This window comes from Homo sapiens, chromosome 8, assembly GCF_000001405.40.
Source record: "Homo sapiens chromosome 8, GRCh38.p14 Primary Assembly".
Classification (NCBI taxonomy): Eukaryota; Metazoa; Chordata; class Mammalia; order Primates; family Hominidae; genus Homo; species Homo sapiens.
The window spans coordinates 143936450-143951029 of record NC_000008.11 but is presented as its reverse complement, the minus strand read 5'-3'; the positions used below and the strand labels follow the sequence as shown (position 1 = coordinate 143951029).

Genomic DNA, 14580 nt, shown 5'->3' with positions numbered 1-14580 from the left:
CCCACTCTACAAGGGCCCCGTCGGCTGTGGGTGGGAGGGGCCGCCCATGCTGCTGAGTCAGAGGGGGCCGGCCCGGCGTCCTGGAGGAAGGCGGGCAGCCGGCAGTGCCGGCAGGGATTGCACGGAGCCAGGCGCCACGAGCCACACAGCCGGGAGCCCGCGCCCTCACGCTCAGCACCCCAGCCTGCCTGCCCGCCCGCCTGCCCTGCCGCTGCCCGCTGTCACACCCTGTAGCGCGGGAGCTTCTCGCAGCGCCCCGGGCCTTCTCGTGGTACCCTGCCTGCTGCCTTTGCCCCCGCACTGACTGCCCGGCTCCAGCAGCCATGGTGGCCGGCATGCTCATGCCACGGGACCAGCTGCGGGCCATCTATGAGGTGCTCTTCCGCGAGGGCGTGATGGTGGCCAAGAAGGACCGGCGGCCCCGCAGCTTGCACCCCCATGTGCCCGGCGTCACCAACCTGCAGGTCATGCGTGCCATGGCGTCCCTGCGGGCACGGGGCCTGGTCCGCGAGACCTTTGCCTGGTGCCACTTTTACTGGTACCTCACCAATGAAGGCATCGCCCACCTCCGCCAGTACCTGCACCTGCCGCCAGAGATCGTGCCCGCCTCTCTGCAGCGCGTGCGCCGCCCCGTCGCCATGGTGATGCCCGCACGCCGCACCCCCCACGTGCAGGCTGTGCAGGGTCCCCTGGGCTCCCCACCCAAGCGGGGGCCGCTGCCGACGGAGGAGCAGCGGGTCTACCGTCGGAAGGAGCTTGAGGAGGTGTCACCTGAGACCCCTGTGGTGCCTGCTACCACCCAGCGGACCCTGGCCAGGCCAGGCCCGGAGCCTGCCCCAGCCACAGGTCAGCTGCACCCTGACCCCAAGTCATGATGGGTGGCAAGTAGGGGTCTGGTTGTCGGGTCTTGGGCCTGGGCCTGGGCTGGAGTGGTTGGAGTGGTCAGCCGGCTTGCGGAGCGTCGCTCACACCAGCAGGTGGCCCCCCCTAGCCGAGGGTCAGGGGGTGCGCTTGCTGATGGGCCCATGTGGCCCCTCCTCCTCGGCTGGGGACCTTCGGGTGTGTAGGCCAAGGAGGAGCCTGTGGCCCAGGCACACCCCGGGGCGCCCCCTCCCCTCTCTCCAACACTGCCCTTGCCTTCGCCCCCTCCGCCTCCTCTCCTGTCCCAGTGACCTGTCTTCCCCGAGGCTCCTCGGCACTGAGGTGGGGGTGTGCGAGGAGGTGCTGGCGCCGGTTGGGTGTGGCCCTCCTCCAGCACATGGCCTGGCCGCCTCCCTTGCCGCGGGGGTTGATGGGTGAGGCTTGGTGCCGCACAGAGTGCCCGGTGTGACCGGTAACTGAGTGCTTGGCCAGCTTGGACTTGGTGGTGGCTGGGGACGGCCCTGGGCGGGATGGGGAGAAGCGCAGGGTCCAGGCAGGAGGCTCCTCCGGCAGGGCAGAGGCCAGGCTGTGGTGTGGTGTCTGCTGGCCCAGCCTGGGGCCTAGATAGGCCTTTCCCGGTACGAACCAGGTCGCACAGGACAGGACGGGTCCTGTCATCCCAGAGGCTTCCAGAGACCCTTTGCTCTGCCCCTTCTCTGTGGCCTCCCTCTGTCCACAAGCACCTGTACCAGCAGGACCCAGGTGGGCAGATGTGTCCCCTGCAGCCCGAGGCTCACACACACACTGTGGAGCACTCTGCCCTCCGTGCTGGCTCCGGATGGCCCGGTCCCCCAGCACCTGGCCCCACCTCCCTCTTTGGGGCTGGCACCTGGGAGCAGCTTGCTCTCTCAGGCTGAAGAAGGGGGCCTGGGGTGGGGCTCTCAGGGTGGGCAGGATTTGCCAGGGTGTGGGGGAGGGGGCCCAGGGGAGGCCCAAGTTTAGGGCGCAGCTGCCCGTGTGGGATGCTGGGCGGAGCCCTGGTGCTGGCTGGCCTGGGGTGAGTTGGACTTGTTAGGGGCTTGCCTTGGGCCCATCTGGGAGGATCAGTGAGGCTGTGGGGTGGAGGCTGGCCTCCCCTCCTGGCTCTCTCTGCGGCTTTGGACAGGTTTAGTGGCCTCTCCAGCTCCTCTCTAAATGGACGACATGTCTCCCGACAGGAGGCATGAGACAAAGACTGCTTGGCCAGGCATGTAGTCCAGGCCCCGGCCCATGTGGCCTTCCTGCTGTCCTCTCCCACCCGGCACCCCTGCCCACCCACTCCCCGGTCATTTGGCAGCCCAGCTTCCCCATGCTCAACTCCTAGCTGTGGTGACTGGGAGTCCCTCCCCTCCTTTTTCTCCTTCCTTGTCCGTGGCTGGGCTGGGCCTGCAGGGCGGGCAGCTGGCGGCAGGGCCAAGAGTGGGGTGTGCTGGGTGTGGCTGCAGCAGGCAGAGCGGAGGGCACCCCTCCCCGATGGAGGTGACTCAGTCCCCCCAAAGCCACAGCCGCCAGCAGCAGCTCAGAGTTTCCAACAGGAAGCGAGCCACAGCTCCGGGATGAGTCAGGGCCAGCAGGCTCAAACCCCTCTCTGCCCTGGACCTCACGGGCTGAGCTTGGGATGGGAAGCTAGGGGAAGGAGGCGGCTCGGATGTGGGGTGTGGCAGAGGGCCAGGGCTGGGCCTCAGGCAGTGACAGGGGTCCGGATGGCCCTGCATACAGCCCGGGGCAGTTCTGATGATACCTGAGACCAGGCACTTCTTGGAGTTTTTAAGTGACCAAGCAGTGAGCTGCCCTGCCCTTCCCCACTGCACAGCCGCTCCGTGGGTTGGCAGAAGGGCAAGGTCAGAGCTCGTGGGCCAACTGTGCTGGTCCAGGATGGCCCTGTTGGATGGGCTGCCCCTCTCCACCCAGCCCTGGCTAGGGAGCACCAGCTGTACCCCTGCAGTGAGGCCCCTGCCCTCCCTGTGCCCTGGTGGTCTGCTTGTCCCTGGGTGGGGCCCATGGGGGCCTGCCAGCAACACATCTGTGTGGGAAGCCATCCGTCCACCTGCTTGTTTAGCCATGCACAGGCCAGGGCCAGACCCAGATGGAGCCCCTGCCCCAGGGGGCTCCAGATATGTGGGGTGAACTGGGTGAGGAGAGCGTGATGGGAAGGTGGCTTCAGAAGCAATCAGGGAGGGCTCTGAGGAGGTGCCTACCCTGCCAGGAGCAGCCCAGAGAGAGGGACAGAGGGAGGCCGGAAGGCCAGAGGGAGAGGACCCATGGGAAGGCCCTGGGCCTGTGGCAGAGTTTCAGTTGCTTGGTGTGGTGGGAAGCTGTAGGAATGTGTTTTTATATGTGAGTTTCATTTACGTTTCATTTTTATTTTACTTATTGTTTTGAGATGGAGTCCCGCTCTGTTGCCCAGGCTGGAGTGCAATAGCACAGTCTTGGCTCACTGCAACCTCCGCCTCCCGGGTTGAAGCGATTCTCCTGTCTCAGCCTCCTGAGTAGCTGGGATTACAGGCATGAGCCACCATGCCTGGCTAATTTTTGTTTTTTTTTTTTAGTAGAGACGGGGTTTCGCCATGTTGGCCAGGCTGGTCTTGAAGTCCTGACCTCAGGTGATCCGCCTGCCTCAGCCTCCCAAAGTGCTGGGATTATAGCTACCGCCCAGCCCTAATTTACATTGCAAATGGCGATGCTTTGCCTGGCTCAAAATTCTGAAGGAACCGAGGATTGTGTGGAGGAGACGCCAGCTGAGCGCTGTCCATGCACCAGCAACGGGCAGGGGCCAGGTAGCCGCCACCACGGTGAGCGCTGTACACGCACAGCACCTAGAGCTGCTTCCCACAGCAAAGGGCAGGGGTTGGGTAGCCACCATGACTTCCCCTCTACACGGAGGACACGCCTGTGCCTTGACCTCCCCCCTTGACCCTCTGTGGCCCTGCGTCAAGGAGGAAGCCTGGAGGTGGCCTGGCTGCCTTGCCCTTCTTCCCAGCCACAGGGTGCTCTAGGTGGAGGGACTATGGCCCGGCCAGCTTTCCACAGGGATCACTGGCTTGGCCGAGTCACCCGTTTGCGGGATTTCTGTAGATCGCCGGCAGGCTTCTAAGGGGTAGTTACGATGGGATTTGATTTGCACTTCACTGGTCAGCAAGCACCTGGGTGGAGAGGTATGGAGAGGGGAGGCAGGTGTCACCATTGCCCCTGGACAGATGCCTGGGGCTGTGCTGGTTGGGGAGGACTCAGGTGGAGGAAGAGACCACCTTTGGGGCTGAGGAATGTGAGTCTCAAGGAGTGGGGTGTGGTGGGCAGTTTGGGGCTCTGCTCCCGCCTGGCTCCTGAAATACCGCTGGGCACATGGATGCCTGGAATGTGGGTGGGAGGGTGGGAGGGCAGGGCTGGGCTGGTGGGGCCTGCAGCGGGAAGGGGAGGCTACAGGGTGGGGTCTGCTGGGCGGGGGGTCTGCTGGGCGGGGCAGGAACAGTAGGGAAGACCCGTGGGCTGGGGCCGGAGGGCTCTCTGGGATTGCAGGCAGGCCAGTCCCCTGCACCCCCAGGCAGGTCTGCTGGGCTGGTCTGACCCGTCAGTCGGCTGGGCTTCATCTCTGCTTACTGACTAAGGGGTGGCTGCGAGGAGGAGCCGCTGCTACCAGGGCATGAGTGGGCCCTCCCTCTGCCTCCCACCCCTTCCCTCCTTCCTGCCTCGCCTTCCTCCCTGCCGGCTCTCGGAGCAGCCTGGCCTGTGTGGCAGCCATGGACAGGTACAGCATGGAGGAGCTGATTCAGCTGGGCCAAGGTAGGGCAGGCAGAGCTGGGGGCTGTGGGAGGCAGAGGAGAGGGCCGGGGCCGCCTCTGGCAGACCTGTCTCTTCCCGTTGTCCACCGTTCTGTGCCGTCAGACCTGGGATGCAGGGATAGGCACAGCCCCCTCTCGGAGCTGCCCCAGGGGTGTGTGTGATGTGTGTCCCGGAAGCACAGGCCTGTCCGGACCTCCGTGGAGTGGTAGAAGAACTGCCCGCTGCCAGCCTGGGGCACTCCTCCCGCCAGGAGCTGGTTCTCACCCAGGCCATTGAGTCAGGCTCCTCTGAGGCTTCCCCAGCACGTGGCAGGGAGTGGGCTGAAACGTCCGGCCTGTCGGCCCCTGCCCACTGCTGGCCAGATGCTGTCCTGGGCTCAGCTGGGAGTTGGGCCCTTTCTGGCATGCCTGGGTATCCCTGACCCTCAGGGCTGCCTGGGCCCGCCCGACCCCTGGCCGCCCAGAGTGGGCCACTGCAGGCATTTCCCTCGGCCGCACGTTTTTGAGGTGTGGGGCTGGAGAGCAGGAGGCTGGGGTGGGCCCGGCCCTCTTGTTGTCCGCGGGCTTCCCAGCATGGACCTGGGTGGCCTGCCCAGTGGCCCGGGGCCAGGCTGGTTCACTGTGCCTTGCTGTGGGCTGAGGTAACTACACTGGAGGCCACCTGGGCTCAGATGGCAGCGTGCGGGACAGCAGGCGGCGCCTCAGGCTCCTGGTCTGTATGAGGCCTTCATGGTATAGGACTTCATGGGGTTTGCTGAGGGTTCCATGTGGTGCCAGGAGCGACGCTGTGGAATGGGGTATACCGTCAACGTGCATTCTCCTGGGCCTGAGGGGTGCGCCCAGCAGACAGGGGTCCCAGGAAGAGGAGCAGGACTGTGCGTGTCCCACGTCCTGTTTCCCCGGCTGCATTGGGATCTGATCTGCATAGGATATGCTGTGGGCCTGCCTGTGGCCCGGCTCTCTGACCCAGGCCTTCCACAGAGCAGGGCTTCGGGACTCCTGGGTGGAGCCAGGCCAGTCTCCTGCCGTGGCCCAGGAGAGGCGTCTCCATCCCAGATCCCTGGGACCCCAGGAGAGGCTGTGCTGTGGGGCAGGCGCAGGCCTGAGCCCTGGTTTCGGGCTGCCTGGGTCTCTGGCCTGCGCGTGACTTTGGGGTGGCTGTCCCGGCCACCGGTGGGGCCAGGTGCTGTGTTGAGTGACCTGCGCAGGGCCCTCTGGGAGAATGGGCGGCCTCTTCTCTTGGCCCCTGTGGCCTTTCCAAGAGCACCCCCTGGCTTGGCAGGGCAGGTGGGTGGGGACTGCACCGCCTCCTGCAGGGACGTGAGCCCGCACCTCCCGCGCCCTGCTCTATTATATTAGAACCCCCTGTGGGAGCTGGGGGACCGAGGTGTCGGGTGGCACCGTCCAGCCAGACCTGACTGCAGCGGGGCCTGGGTGCCCTGGCGCCGTGCGTCATGTTCCAAGTCTGGGTGGTGACGGTCCTTGCGCGCCCTCCTCGGATATTTATATCCCCTGGGCCCCTGCCCACTGCTCCCCTCCCCCACAAGCTGCTGCTGACAGCAGCACGGCCGTGCCCTCCTCCCACCCGACGCTGCCGCCAGTGGCTTGTGCCTCCTCCGAGGGGCCTGTGACCTCCCACACCCCTGGCCCGCTCCGTCTGCCCCGTGGGCTCCTGCCACCGTCCCCGATGAAGATCGTGCCCGGTAGGTGGGCAGCCCTTGAAAGCCTTGTGAAATCCTGGCCCCTTGCTGGGGACAGGGGCCAGAGGGCTGGGGCTGAGGCTGGAGGCCAGGGGCGCTGTCCCTCGCCCTGCACACAGCCTGCCTCATGTGCCCTCACCCAGACCCCCTCAGCCCTGGTCTGCAGTCTCACTTTTGGGGTGTTGGGGCTGGTGAGGAGGGCGAAGTTGAAGGAGTGCAGTGGGTTCAGCTGCAGGCTTGAGGTGGGGGCTCTGGCATCCCTCCATGCCTGCCAGCTGTCCCCAGAGGGCAGCCTTGGAGGCAGAGTGGGCTGCTCGGGCCCCTCTTCTGGTGGGGACAGCAGGGGGAGGCTGGGAGGGAGGGAGGGTGTGTGCCGAGGCCGCGGGCAGTGCTGGGGGGCTGCGGCTTGGCCAGGCGTGCGGCTGGCCCCTCCTCCCGGCGGGTGTGGCCGCGGGGACGCAGGGGTTAAGGCCAACTAACCTTGAGCGTCAGTAGCCCTGCGCAGGGACAGCTGAGCCGGCCGGGTGGGGAGCGAGGGTGGGGAGGCGCCGAGGGCCGGACCCGCGGAGGGAGGAGGAGAGGAGGCGGGCGGGAGCTGTTGTGGGGCTGCCGCCGCGTATGGGGCGGTCCTGCGGGCAGGGCAGGCTCCGGTCCCGGCGCTCCCCCTCGCTCGCCCTGCACGCAGGGAGGGGGCTGTCTAGCCTGGAGCAGCCGGTTCCCAGCGCAGGAAGGGCAGCCCTGGCGGCTCCGCGTGGCGGCTATGGAGCCCTCGGGCAGCCTGTTTCCCTCCCTGGTGGTTGTGGGTCACGTTGTCACCCTGGCCGCTGTGTGGCACTGGCGCAGGGGACGTCGGTGGGCGCAGGACGAGCAAGGTAAGCCCCGCTGGTGGCTGCCAGGGACTCGAGGCGGGGCAGAGGGGCCGCCTGCCTCCCGCCCCTTCATTCCCTGCGCCCTCCCCTTCCTGTTTCCAAGCTGAATGTCAGTGAAAGCAGTGTTGCCCCTCCACCCCACCCTGCAGTGTAGACCCTGACCCTGCTGCAGTCCCAGGGCGGGGCGGGCTCTGCAGTGGCCCTCAGCCTGCAGCCTGTGCGGGACAGGTGGGTGGAAGCGGAGGCCGGCAGGGCAGGAGCGTCCCCCACACGAAGGGAGGCCTGTGGCAGCCGCCGTGGCAGGGACAAGTGGGCAGGTGCCTGTCCGGCCAGCACTGAGGTGGAGGTGGCTCCCTGCACACACAGCAGGGGGTGGAGCCACACGCAGGTGAGGCAGGTGCCCTCATGCCCTCGGGCCGCACAGGGGGCGGGGGCAGCCAGGCTGTGCCCTGCCCTCCCTGCTCAAAGTCACCAGCTCCTGGGCTGTGGTCCCAGGTGGCAACCGTGCCCAGCACAGGATGGGGCGGGGCCCTGGGGATTGGGCAGCCTCAATTATGGGCTTCTGGCCAGAGGGACTGCCTATCGGGGACCTGGCTGGCCAGACCTCTCCTGCAGTGAGGGCGCTGCCTGGCTCAGCTCCTCTGCTGGATCCCCGGACTTGAGATGAGTCAAGATGGGGCTTCTAGGCGTGGCGCTGGGGACGCCCGGAGCTGCCGGGGACTCAGCTGCCAGGATGGGACTTGGGCTGAGGGCTTCTTCCCCATCCATGTTTTTGGCTGGGGACCAGACACTGTCCCTGCCTCCCCACCTCAGCCCACAATTGCCCCCTTCGGCCACGGTCCTGGCTCACAGGATGCCTCTACTCCCTGGTGGTGCCAGACGCGGCTCAGCTCCTCGGTTCTGCCTCCAGCGTTGTCTGCCCACCACCTGGCCCCATGCCCTGCCTTCCTCCCTGGGCCCTGCAGTCCCCACCGCACATCCTGCTGGGAGGCCCCCTCCCATGCCGCTTCAGTCCCAGGGCAGCCTCCCAGCCCGGCCCGTGGGTTGGGGCGCGGCTTCCTGGCTGCGCTGGGCGGGGCTGCGCGCCAGGGGCAGGTTCTTTGGGTCTGGGCCTCGCTCCCGCAGTGGGCGGATTGTGGGGGGGAGGTGGAAGAGGTGGAGAGCGAAGCCGGCAGCCTCGCAGCGTGGGCTGGAAGCAGAGGCGCCGCCGCGGTCCAGCTCCCCGCACTGTCCGTGGGCCGAACCAGGGCTCCGGCCGTGGCCGGCATGTCGGGGGCGGGGGGCGCCTTTGCCTCGCCGAGGGAGGTCTTGCTGGAGCGGCCGTGCTGGCTGGACGGGGGCTGCGAGCCGGCCCGCAGGGGCTACCTCTACCAGCAGCTGTGCTGCGTAGGTGGGTGCAGTGGCGTGGCCGGTGGCACAGAAGGGGCCACCATCGCTCTCACCTAGTGGGGCTGGGTCTCTGCTGGGAACCGCCGCCTGGGCTGGGATGGGGGTGGCGCCTTGGCCCGGTGCAGCCTTGCCCCCGAGCTCCGGAAACACCTGGGGAGGAAGGCGGGGTGATGTTCCCCTACCCCCATTTGTTTGTCTCTAGAGAAGGGGCTGGAGGGGGCGGGGCTGGAGGGGGCGGGGCTGGCCCACCCCCGGCTGTTCCACGTCAGCCTGGGCTTTGGCCTGGGTTTCCAGGACACGGGGGAGGGAGGAGGTGCTGAAGGCGGGGCTCCAGGCCTTCTGTGGACTTGCTGCAGTCCTGGGCCAGTGGGATTCCCTTCCCAGTCTTGGGGTTTCCATCCTAGGACCGTCTCCACTAGCTGCGGGACCTCAGCCATAGGGTCCACACCTGTAAAACGGGGGCGATACTCCTCAGAGGGCCACGGCAGTGCCTGTCGTGAGGGACCCTGGGCTGGCGGCCGAGGGTCAGCAGCCCTGGACAGCACAGGTGTCAGGCAGGTGTGCAGAGGCACCTGAGCTGGGGGTGTTCTGGGTGCGTCCCAGGTGGGAGAGCCAGCTGAGCTGCAGCTGTAGAGGGTGGGTGTAGCCTGGCTGGGTGGGGCGGGTGTGTCTGTTGGTTTTAGGGTCAGAATAGGATTGGATGGGGCGGGGCAGGCTGGGCTGGGAGGGAGGGGAGGTGATGAGGAGGGAAGAGCTCAGAGCAAAGAGGCACCCAGAGGCAGGAAGTAGGGAAGGGGAGCTTGAGCCAGGCTTGGGAGGTGGAGGCCCCTGACCGAGCCCCCAGCCCACCTGGTCCCAGCCCTGCCCCGCCCCAGCCCTTCTCCTCACCCGGTCCCAGCCTTGCCCGAGTCCGTGTCTGGAGTCCCCACCGTGCCCCTTCCCTTCCCTGAGCCCCTGCCCCATTCCTGACCCTGGCCCGGCCCAGGGCGGCATCTTTGGAGGCCTGTTAGTGGCAGGGAGAAGGCTGGAACAGGGGCCTGGCTGGGGTGGGCTCCACGTGGGTCCTGGACCTTGGCCCCGGCTCCCAGTTTCCAGCTGTCGTGGACTCCCTGTGCCCACCTCCCTGGCTGTTCCGGGATCTCACACTGTGCCTCAGCAGAGTGGCAGCCCCGTTCCTGCAGGCAGGAGCCACCTGGTCACGGCCGGGCCCCCAGAGCCCATACCCAGCAGGCGCGGGGCTTGGCCTCAGGGTAGCTGCTGGCCCAGGGCTTCTGAAGAGGCGACAGTGTTTCCAGAGGCTTTGGACCCAGGGAGGGGCGGCAGAGGTGTGGGGTCCGGGGTGCCCTTGGGCACAAGACTGGAGGTGCTGACCAGTGCGGGGTCAGATTTTGATTTGGGGGCTTCTGGTGACTCCTGAGGTTCTGGAGGCTGCTGGGCCGGACAGGCAGAGCAAGAGGGTCACCCTGAATCTCATGCCAGGCTCAGAGACCATGCATGGAGACCAAGGGGTGTCTTCGTTGGGCGGCGTGTACGATGTGGCAGAGCCCTAGGGGCTGGCTGTGCCCCTTGGCGTGGAGTGGGGGCTTCCCCACCTCTGAGGGGTTTGGGCACCCCCCATTGTGAGGGTTCTGGTGCCCCCTCACGGCCTCAGGGGCAGTAGGAATGAGGTGGGGTGAGCTCTTCCCAGAACTGAGGCCGAGTGCAGCTCCCAGCTGGACCGAATCTGCCTGATGTGCGGCTGGAACATTCTTGTGGTTGGGGCAGCGCATTCTTTCCTATGGTGGTCGGGTGGGCTGGGCAGGCCCAGAAGCTGGCCAGAGGCAGCTCCGCCCCGGACCCCAGGGAGCCGGAGGCCCCAGCCAGCGCAGGCCCTTTGCCCTTTGCCCTTTACAGCATGAGACTGCTTCCCTTGAGCCCCACCCAGCTGCAAACAGCACCCCCCACCCCTGGGGTCGCCCAGGTCCTGCCTCAGGTGTGGCTTCCCCTCTGTGAGTCACAGGCTTGGGCCCCCTCCCCATCCCTGACTCACTGGCGAGGCCCCTCCTGGGGCTTCCCGATGCTCCATTCCCCCATGAGGCCCGGCCTCCGTGAGTCAGCCCTCAGCTACGCGCCTCCGACGTGAGGTGTCTGCCTGGGGCAGGGTGGGCTCCGCAGGTGGGCACTGCTCCAGGATGTGCCAGGTGGGCAGCTTGGGAGGGGCCAGGCCTGGGGTGGGACCCCACTGGCCCCAGGGCCAGGGCAGGCACCATGGGGCAGGGTGTGCTCCCCGCTTCATGCAGGTCTGTGAAGAGGTGTGATTGGGGGGCTGCAAGAGCTGACAGGCAGCAGGTCCCCTCCCCTCGCCAGGTATCAGCGGCTTCTTGAGTCCGCCCTGGCAGGGTGGGTGGGCAGAGGCTGAAGCAGGGCCTGGCCCAGGCCTGGAGGGAGCTCCAAAGAGAGGCGTGGCCTCAGAGCCCCTCCCGTCGGGGGAGCCCTTCAGTCTGTTGGGGGGTCCTTCTGGGTGGCTGTGGGGACGGCCTGTGTTCCTCTGCGGTCCTGGCACCATTTGGTGTGCAGTGAAGTGCCAGCTCCCCGTGTCCCCAGGTCCCCCTAGGGGGCTGCAGTGGTCGGGGTGGGTGAGGAAACCCCGGTTTCCTGTTTCTGGCGGGCCGAGGGCGTGTCTGTGGGGGAGGGGGCTGCTTGCTCCTTCCCGCCGGGACACTCCCCTCCCTGGCGGCGGCCTGGGCAGGGTGGGGCCTCGGGGGCGGGCCGGCCTCGCCGGGGAGTACAGCAGGCAGGGAGTGGCCGCACCGACTGGGGCTCTGAGCTGAGCCTGTGCCGAGTGAGCGTCTCGTGGGGCCGCCAGCCTTCAGCTGCCTGTGTGCCACACGGGGCTGCCCAGAGCACCGTGCCTGAGGCCGAGGGTCCGGGCGACGAAGGTGTGGGGGCAGCATGTCTCAGCACCAGCTCCGCGTGCCGCAGCCCGAGGGCCTGGGCCGAAAGAGAACCAGCTCGGAGGACAACCTGTACCTGGCTGTGCTCAGGGCCTCTGAGGGCAAGAAAGGTAGCAGGGCTCCCCTCGGGCACCCCCGCCAGGCAGGGCGGGCCCCTGCGGGAGGAAGGCCCACTTCCTGTGGCAGGAAAGCCTTGGCACCGCTGGGGGGCTGGTCTTGGAGATGGGGGTCGGGGGCCAGCCATCCCCACCCAACACGGAGTGGGCCGACAGGCGCCCGCGAGGCTGACGGGGGCCTCCGAGCGTCAGATGTCGGGCCTGGAAGGGCGAGGAACTCTGCGCTCTGGGGAAGGTTCGCTGCCCTGTCAGCAGCACACGCGGCTTCCCTTCCAACACCCCAGCGGGCCCGGGCCCTGGCTCTGCCACACCCCTGCTTGGGTCTCAGTCTGTAGAGGCCGGGGGGGACTGCAGGACGGGACTTGTGTGCCCTGGGCTCAGGGTGCGCCCAGGACCCTCCCATTTCCTCGGGGGAAGAGTCCGGGGTGGGGTGGCTGCACCTGGTGGCGCCTGGGCCCCTGGCACCTGGGTCTCTGCTGTGTGGCTGGGCTGCGGGTGAGGGCGCCTGGGTCTCAGTGTGTGATCTGAGGGAGGCTTTGGGGCTCCCCAGGCAGGACCTGGCCAGCCAGGCTGCTGTGTCTGCACGGTGGTCACCTGAGGGCCCCCGGGGCTTCTCCCAGGCCCCAGGTAAGCTGGTCTTGTCTCCCCCAGATGAGCGGGATCGTGTGCAGAAGAAAACCTTCACCAAGTGGGTCAACAAGCACCTCATCAAGGTTGGTGGCGCATGCTGGTGCGTGTCACAGGGGCTGAGGCTGTGGGAGGCGCTGAGGGAGGGTGGCCCCTGCCGCCCAAGGCTGTCCCCATGCTGCCTGTGTGCTCACCTTTCATCTCTGAAACCTGTTATTTTCTGTCCTCTTTCTTCCCTACGCCTGCTCCTGCCTCTCTCTTCCTCCTCTTCCTTCTGGTCTTTCCTGGTCTCTCCTTGCAGCACTGGCGGGCAGAGGTAGGTGCCTCCGTGGGGCAGGGTGTGTTCCGTGGGCTCCCGGGAGACTCAGCCCCCGCCTCCTTCCCTCTGGGACCAGCACCCACTCTGTAGATCAGCCACTCAGGGCCTATTGGTGGCTCTGGGGGACTGGCCACCTCAGCCGCTGCTGTCCCCACAGGCCCAGAGGCACATCAGTGACCTGTATGAAGACCTCCGCGATGGCCACAACCTCATCTCCCTGCTGGAGGTCCTCTCGGGGGACAGCCTGGTACGTGTGCCCCTGCCCCCTCCGGGCCCCGCCTGCCCCACCTGGAGACCTCTGCCTGCCTTCCCTCCTTGGGGCCTCTCCGGCCGCCCACTCTACTTGGAATCCAGCTCAACCCCTCCTGCCTTCTCCCTGGGGGCAGGCTGGCCTCGTCCCTGGCAGCACCTCCCGCCCAGGCTGCTGGGCATCACAGCCGAGGGCCTGGCCTGGGAGTGGCCGCAACCCTCGGACCTCGGCTGCTCTGGGCCTTGCCGCCCTCCGCGTCGGGACACAGTAACCTCATGCTCCGCTTTGCTTTGGTTTCTCTGCTGCTTGGACTCTGAACCTTGACCTCTGCCCTTTACCCTTTGCCCTGCTCTGGCCGGGCAGCCGAGGGAGCGGGACGTAAGCAGGAGCTCACGCCTGGTGAGTGGCTGTGCCTGCCGGCTGCAGCGGCACGGGAGCTCCCCAAGACCGTGGAGCCCGGCTTTCTGGGGGCTGGTGGCCCGTCGGCCAACCCCTGCCTGGCTCTTGGGCGGGTAGGTGGTTGGGTGTCAAGCTGCCCGTCCACCGTGCTGCCCAGAGCTGGCCTGGGACCCACCGGTGGCTGCTGTGGCTGCCACCGCCAGGCAGGAGGACCCCCCCTTTAGTGCCACTGCCCTCCACACGAGGCTTCCTGGCTATTGTCTCCTCCCACCCCTTCCTTCCTTCCCTCAGCCTGGGTCGCTGGACTTCCCGAGCCCTGATGGGCCTGGCCTGGCCCCTGGGCCGGTGGCCTCCCTTTCCCTGCGGGGGAGGGTGAACCTGGGATGAGGGGCTGCTGCCCCCTGGGGAAGACCCTTGGCTCGGTTGCTGCGGCGCTTTGGGGCATGCTGAGGGTGGGGCCCGGGAGCTGCAGCTGCACTGTGGGTGCTGACTGTGCCTCCCCACAGCCCCGGGAGAAGGGGAGGATGCGTTTCCACAAGCTGCAGAATGTCCAGATTGCCCTGGACTACCTCCGGCACCGCCAGGTAAGGCTGCCCGGCAGGCCCTGGGCCCCACCCAGACCCCTCACCAAGCCAGCCCCGCCCTGTGGGCCGTGACCGAGAGCCCCTCGCTCACAGGTGAAGCTGGTGAACATCAGGAATGATGACATCGCTGACGGCAACCCCAAGCTGACCCTTGGCCTCATCTGGACAATCATTCTGCACTTCCAGGTAGAACGGCTGCCCCCAGGACCCCCACCCCCTGCAGGAGTTTCCAGGGTAGCCTGGGCTCCTTGGCTGGCGGGTTGATCCGCTTTCTGGCTAGGGCGTGGCCTGGGAGGTGACTGGCGCCGTAGGTATGGTGGCACCTGGGTGCCTTCCTGCCAGCCGCAACCCTGGACTGGATCTGTGGCCTGAGGGTACAGGCCTCTCTCTGAGGCCACCTATCCGTGCCCTCTGGCCCTGGCTGGGCAGGGCCCAGAGCCTCCCTGTGGAGGAATGCAGGCCCCGGTGCCTGCCCTGGGGAGGCTTCTGCGCAGCACAGGCTGACTCACCCGCTGCTTGTCCTGGCTGCACAGGAAACCACAAATCTGAGAGCTGAGCAGGCAGAGCCTGGTGCTGGCACGGCAGCTGAGTCACACAGGCTGGCAGGACGACAGGCAGCTAGGGGTGGGTGGGCAGAACCTGGCCTGAGCATGCCACTGAGTGTAAAGCCAGGCTGCCAGAGGCCCCACCTGCCAGCCTGCAACCATCGATGGAG

At 67.1% G+C, this 14580-nt stretch overlaps 1 protein-coding gene, 1 long non-coding RNA gene and 1 other non-coding gene across 47 annotated transcripts in view, besides 13 other annotated features; 2 read left to right on the top strand and 1 right to left on the bottom strand.

Moving 5' to 3' along the window:
• PLEC (plectin) overlaps positions 1-14580 on the top strand; it is a 61593-nt gene that overhangs the window by 25716 nt on the left and 21297 nt on the right. For 11 of the 45 annotated variants that reach the window (XM_047421872.1, NM_001410941.1, NM_000445.5 and 8 more), the window contains 4 exons: positions 12338-12399; positions 12790-12879; positions 13788-13865; positions 13959-14051. In XM_047421872.1, the coding sequence (XP_047277828.1) occupies positions 12338-12399; positions 12790-12879; positions 13788-13865; positions 13959-14051 (323 nt within the window). Of the gene's footprint in view, positions 1-103; positions 847-4589; positions 4681-6259; positions 6383-7044; positions 7252-8405; positions 8639-11432; positions 11681-11812; positions 11922-12337; positions 12400-12614; positions 12630-12789; positions 13282-13787; positions 13866-13958; positions 14052-14580 lie in introns of those variants that run through there. The other 34 variants (XM_047421880.1, XM_011517130.3, XM_011517132.3 and 31 more) reach the window with 16 other exon arrangements.
• Positions 30-169: a silencer, noted in NCBI's record as "silent region_19635". NCBI's record gives its function as "represses an Ori minimal core promoter by ATAC-STARR-seq in GM12878 lymphoblastoid cells {active_cell/tissue: GM12878}" and the evidence as "EXISTENCE:reporter gene assay evidence [ECO:0000049][PMID:35858748]".
• Positions 384-1171: an enhancer, noted in NCBI's record as "H3K27ac-H3K4me1 hESC enhancer chr8:145024027-145024814 (GRCh37/hg19 assembly coordinates)". NCBI's record gives its function as "activates a minimal SCP1, AML or CMV promoter by ChIP-STARR-seq in naive H9 embryonic stem cells {active_cell/tissue: H9 hESC(naive)}" and the evidence as "EXISTENCE:reporter gene assay evidence [ECO:0000049][PMID:30033119]".
• Positions 2746-3533: an enhancer, noted in NCBI's record as "H3K27ac-H3K4me1 hESC enhancer chr8:145021665-145022452 (GRCh37/hg19 assembly coordinates)". NCBI's record gives its function as "activates a minimal SCP1, AML or CMV promoter by ChIP-STARR-seq in primed H9 embryonic stem cells {active_cell/tissue: H9 hESC(primed)}" and the evidence as "EXISTENCE:reporter gene assay evidence [ECO:0000049][PMID:30033119]".
• Positions 3243-7166, bottom strand: LOC124902040 (uncharacterized). Its single transcript, XR_007061144.1, has 2 exons — positions 6860-7166; positions 3243-5464 (listed from the first exon to the last, which is right to left on the bottom strand). It is a non-coding gene; the product is annotated as an uncharacterized LOC124902040 (long non-coding RNA).
• Positions 3534-4321: an enhancer, noted in NCBI's record as "H3K27ac-H3K4me1 hESC enhancer chr8:145020877-145021664 (GRCh37/hg19 assembly coordinates)". NCBI's record gives its function as "activates a minimal SCP1, AML or CMV promoter by ChIP-STARR-seq in primed H9 embryonic stem cells {active_cell/tissue: H9 hESC(primed)}" and the evidence as "EXISTENCE:reporter gene assay evidence [ECO:0000049][PMID:30033119]".
• Positions 5751-5839, top strand: MIR661 (microRNA 661). Its single transcript, NR_030383.1, has one exon. It is a non-coding gene; the product is annotated as a microRNA 661 (primary transcript).
• Positions 6850-7119: a silencer, noted in NCBI's record as "silent region_19634". NCBI's record gives its function as "represses an Ori minimal core promoter by ATAC-STARR-seq in GM12878 lymphoblastoid cells {active_cell/tissue: GM12878}" and the evidence as "EXISTENCE:reporter gene assay evidence [ECO:0000049][PMID:35858748]".
• Positions 7720-7969: an enhancer, noted in NCBI's record as "active region_28080". NCBI's record gives its function as "activates an Ori minimal core promoter by ATAC-STARR-seq in GM12878 lymphoblastoid cells {active_cell/tissue: GM12878}" and the evidence as "EXISTENCE:reporter gene assay evidence [ECO:0000049][PMID:35858748]".
• Positions 8190-8649: a silencer, noted in NCBI's record as "silent region_19633". NCBI's record gives its function as "represses an Ori minimal core promoter by ATAC-STARR-seq in GM12878 lymphoblastoid cells {active_cell/tissue: GM12878}" and the evidence as "EXISTENCE:reporter gene assay evidence [ECO:0000049][PMID:35858748]".
• Positions 8870-8959: a silencer, noted in NCBI's record as "silent region_19632". NCBI's record gives its function as "represses an Ori minimal core promoter by ATAC-STARR-seq in GM12878 lymphoblastoid cells {active_cell/tissue: GM12878}" and the evidence as "EXISTENCE:reporter gene assay evidence [ECO:0000049][PMID:35858748]".
• Positions 10515-10809: an enhancer, noted in NCBI's record as "tiled region #8265; HepG2 Activating non-DNase unmatched - State 1:Tss, and K562 Activating non-DNase unmatched - State 1:Tss". NCBI's record gives its function as "activates a minimal TATA promoter and a strong SV40 promoter by Sharpr-MPRA in HepG2 and K562 cells {active_cell/tissue: HepG2 | K562}" and the evidence as "EXISTENCE:reporter gene assay evidence [ECO:0000049][PMID:27701403]".
• Positions 10987-11046: an enhancer, noted in NCBI's record as "active region_28079". NCBI's record gives its function as "activates an Ori minimal core promoter by ATAC-STARR-seq in GM12878 lymphoblastoid cells {active_cell/tissue: GM12878}" and the evidence as "EXISTENCE:reporter gene assay evidence [ECO:0000049][PMID:35858748]".
• Positions 11207-11436: a silencer, noted in NCBI's record as "silent region_19631". NCBI's record gives its function as "represses an Ori minimal core promoter by ATAC-STARR-seq in GM12878 lymphoblastoid cells {active_cell/tissue: GM12878}" and the evidence as "EXISTENCE:reporter gene assay evidence [ECO:0000049][PMID:35858748]".
• Positions 11457-11696: an enhancer, noted in NCBI's record as "active region_28078". NCBI's record gives its function as "activates an Ori minimal core promoter by ATAC-STARR-seq in GM12878 lymphoblastoid cells {active_cell/tissue: GM12878}" and the evidence as "EXISTENCE:reporter gene assay evidence [ECO:0000049][PMID:35858748]".
• Positions 11717-11816: a silencer, noted in NCBI's record as "silent region_19630". NCBI's record gives its function as "represses an Ori minimal core promoter by ATAC-STARR-seq in GM12878 lymphoblastoid cells {active_cell/tissue: GM12878}" and the evidence as "EXISTENCE:reporter gene assay evidence [ECO:0000049][PMID:35858748]".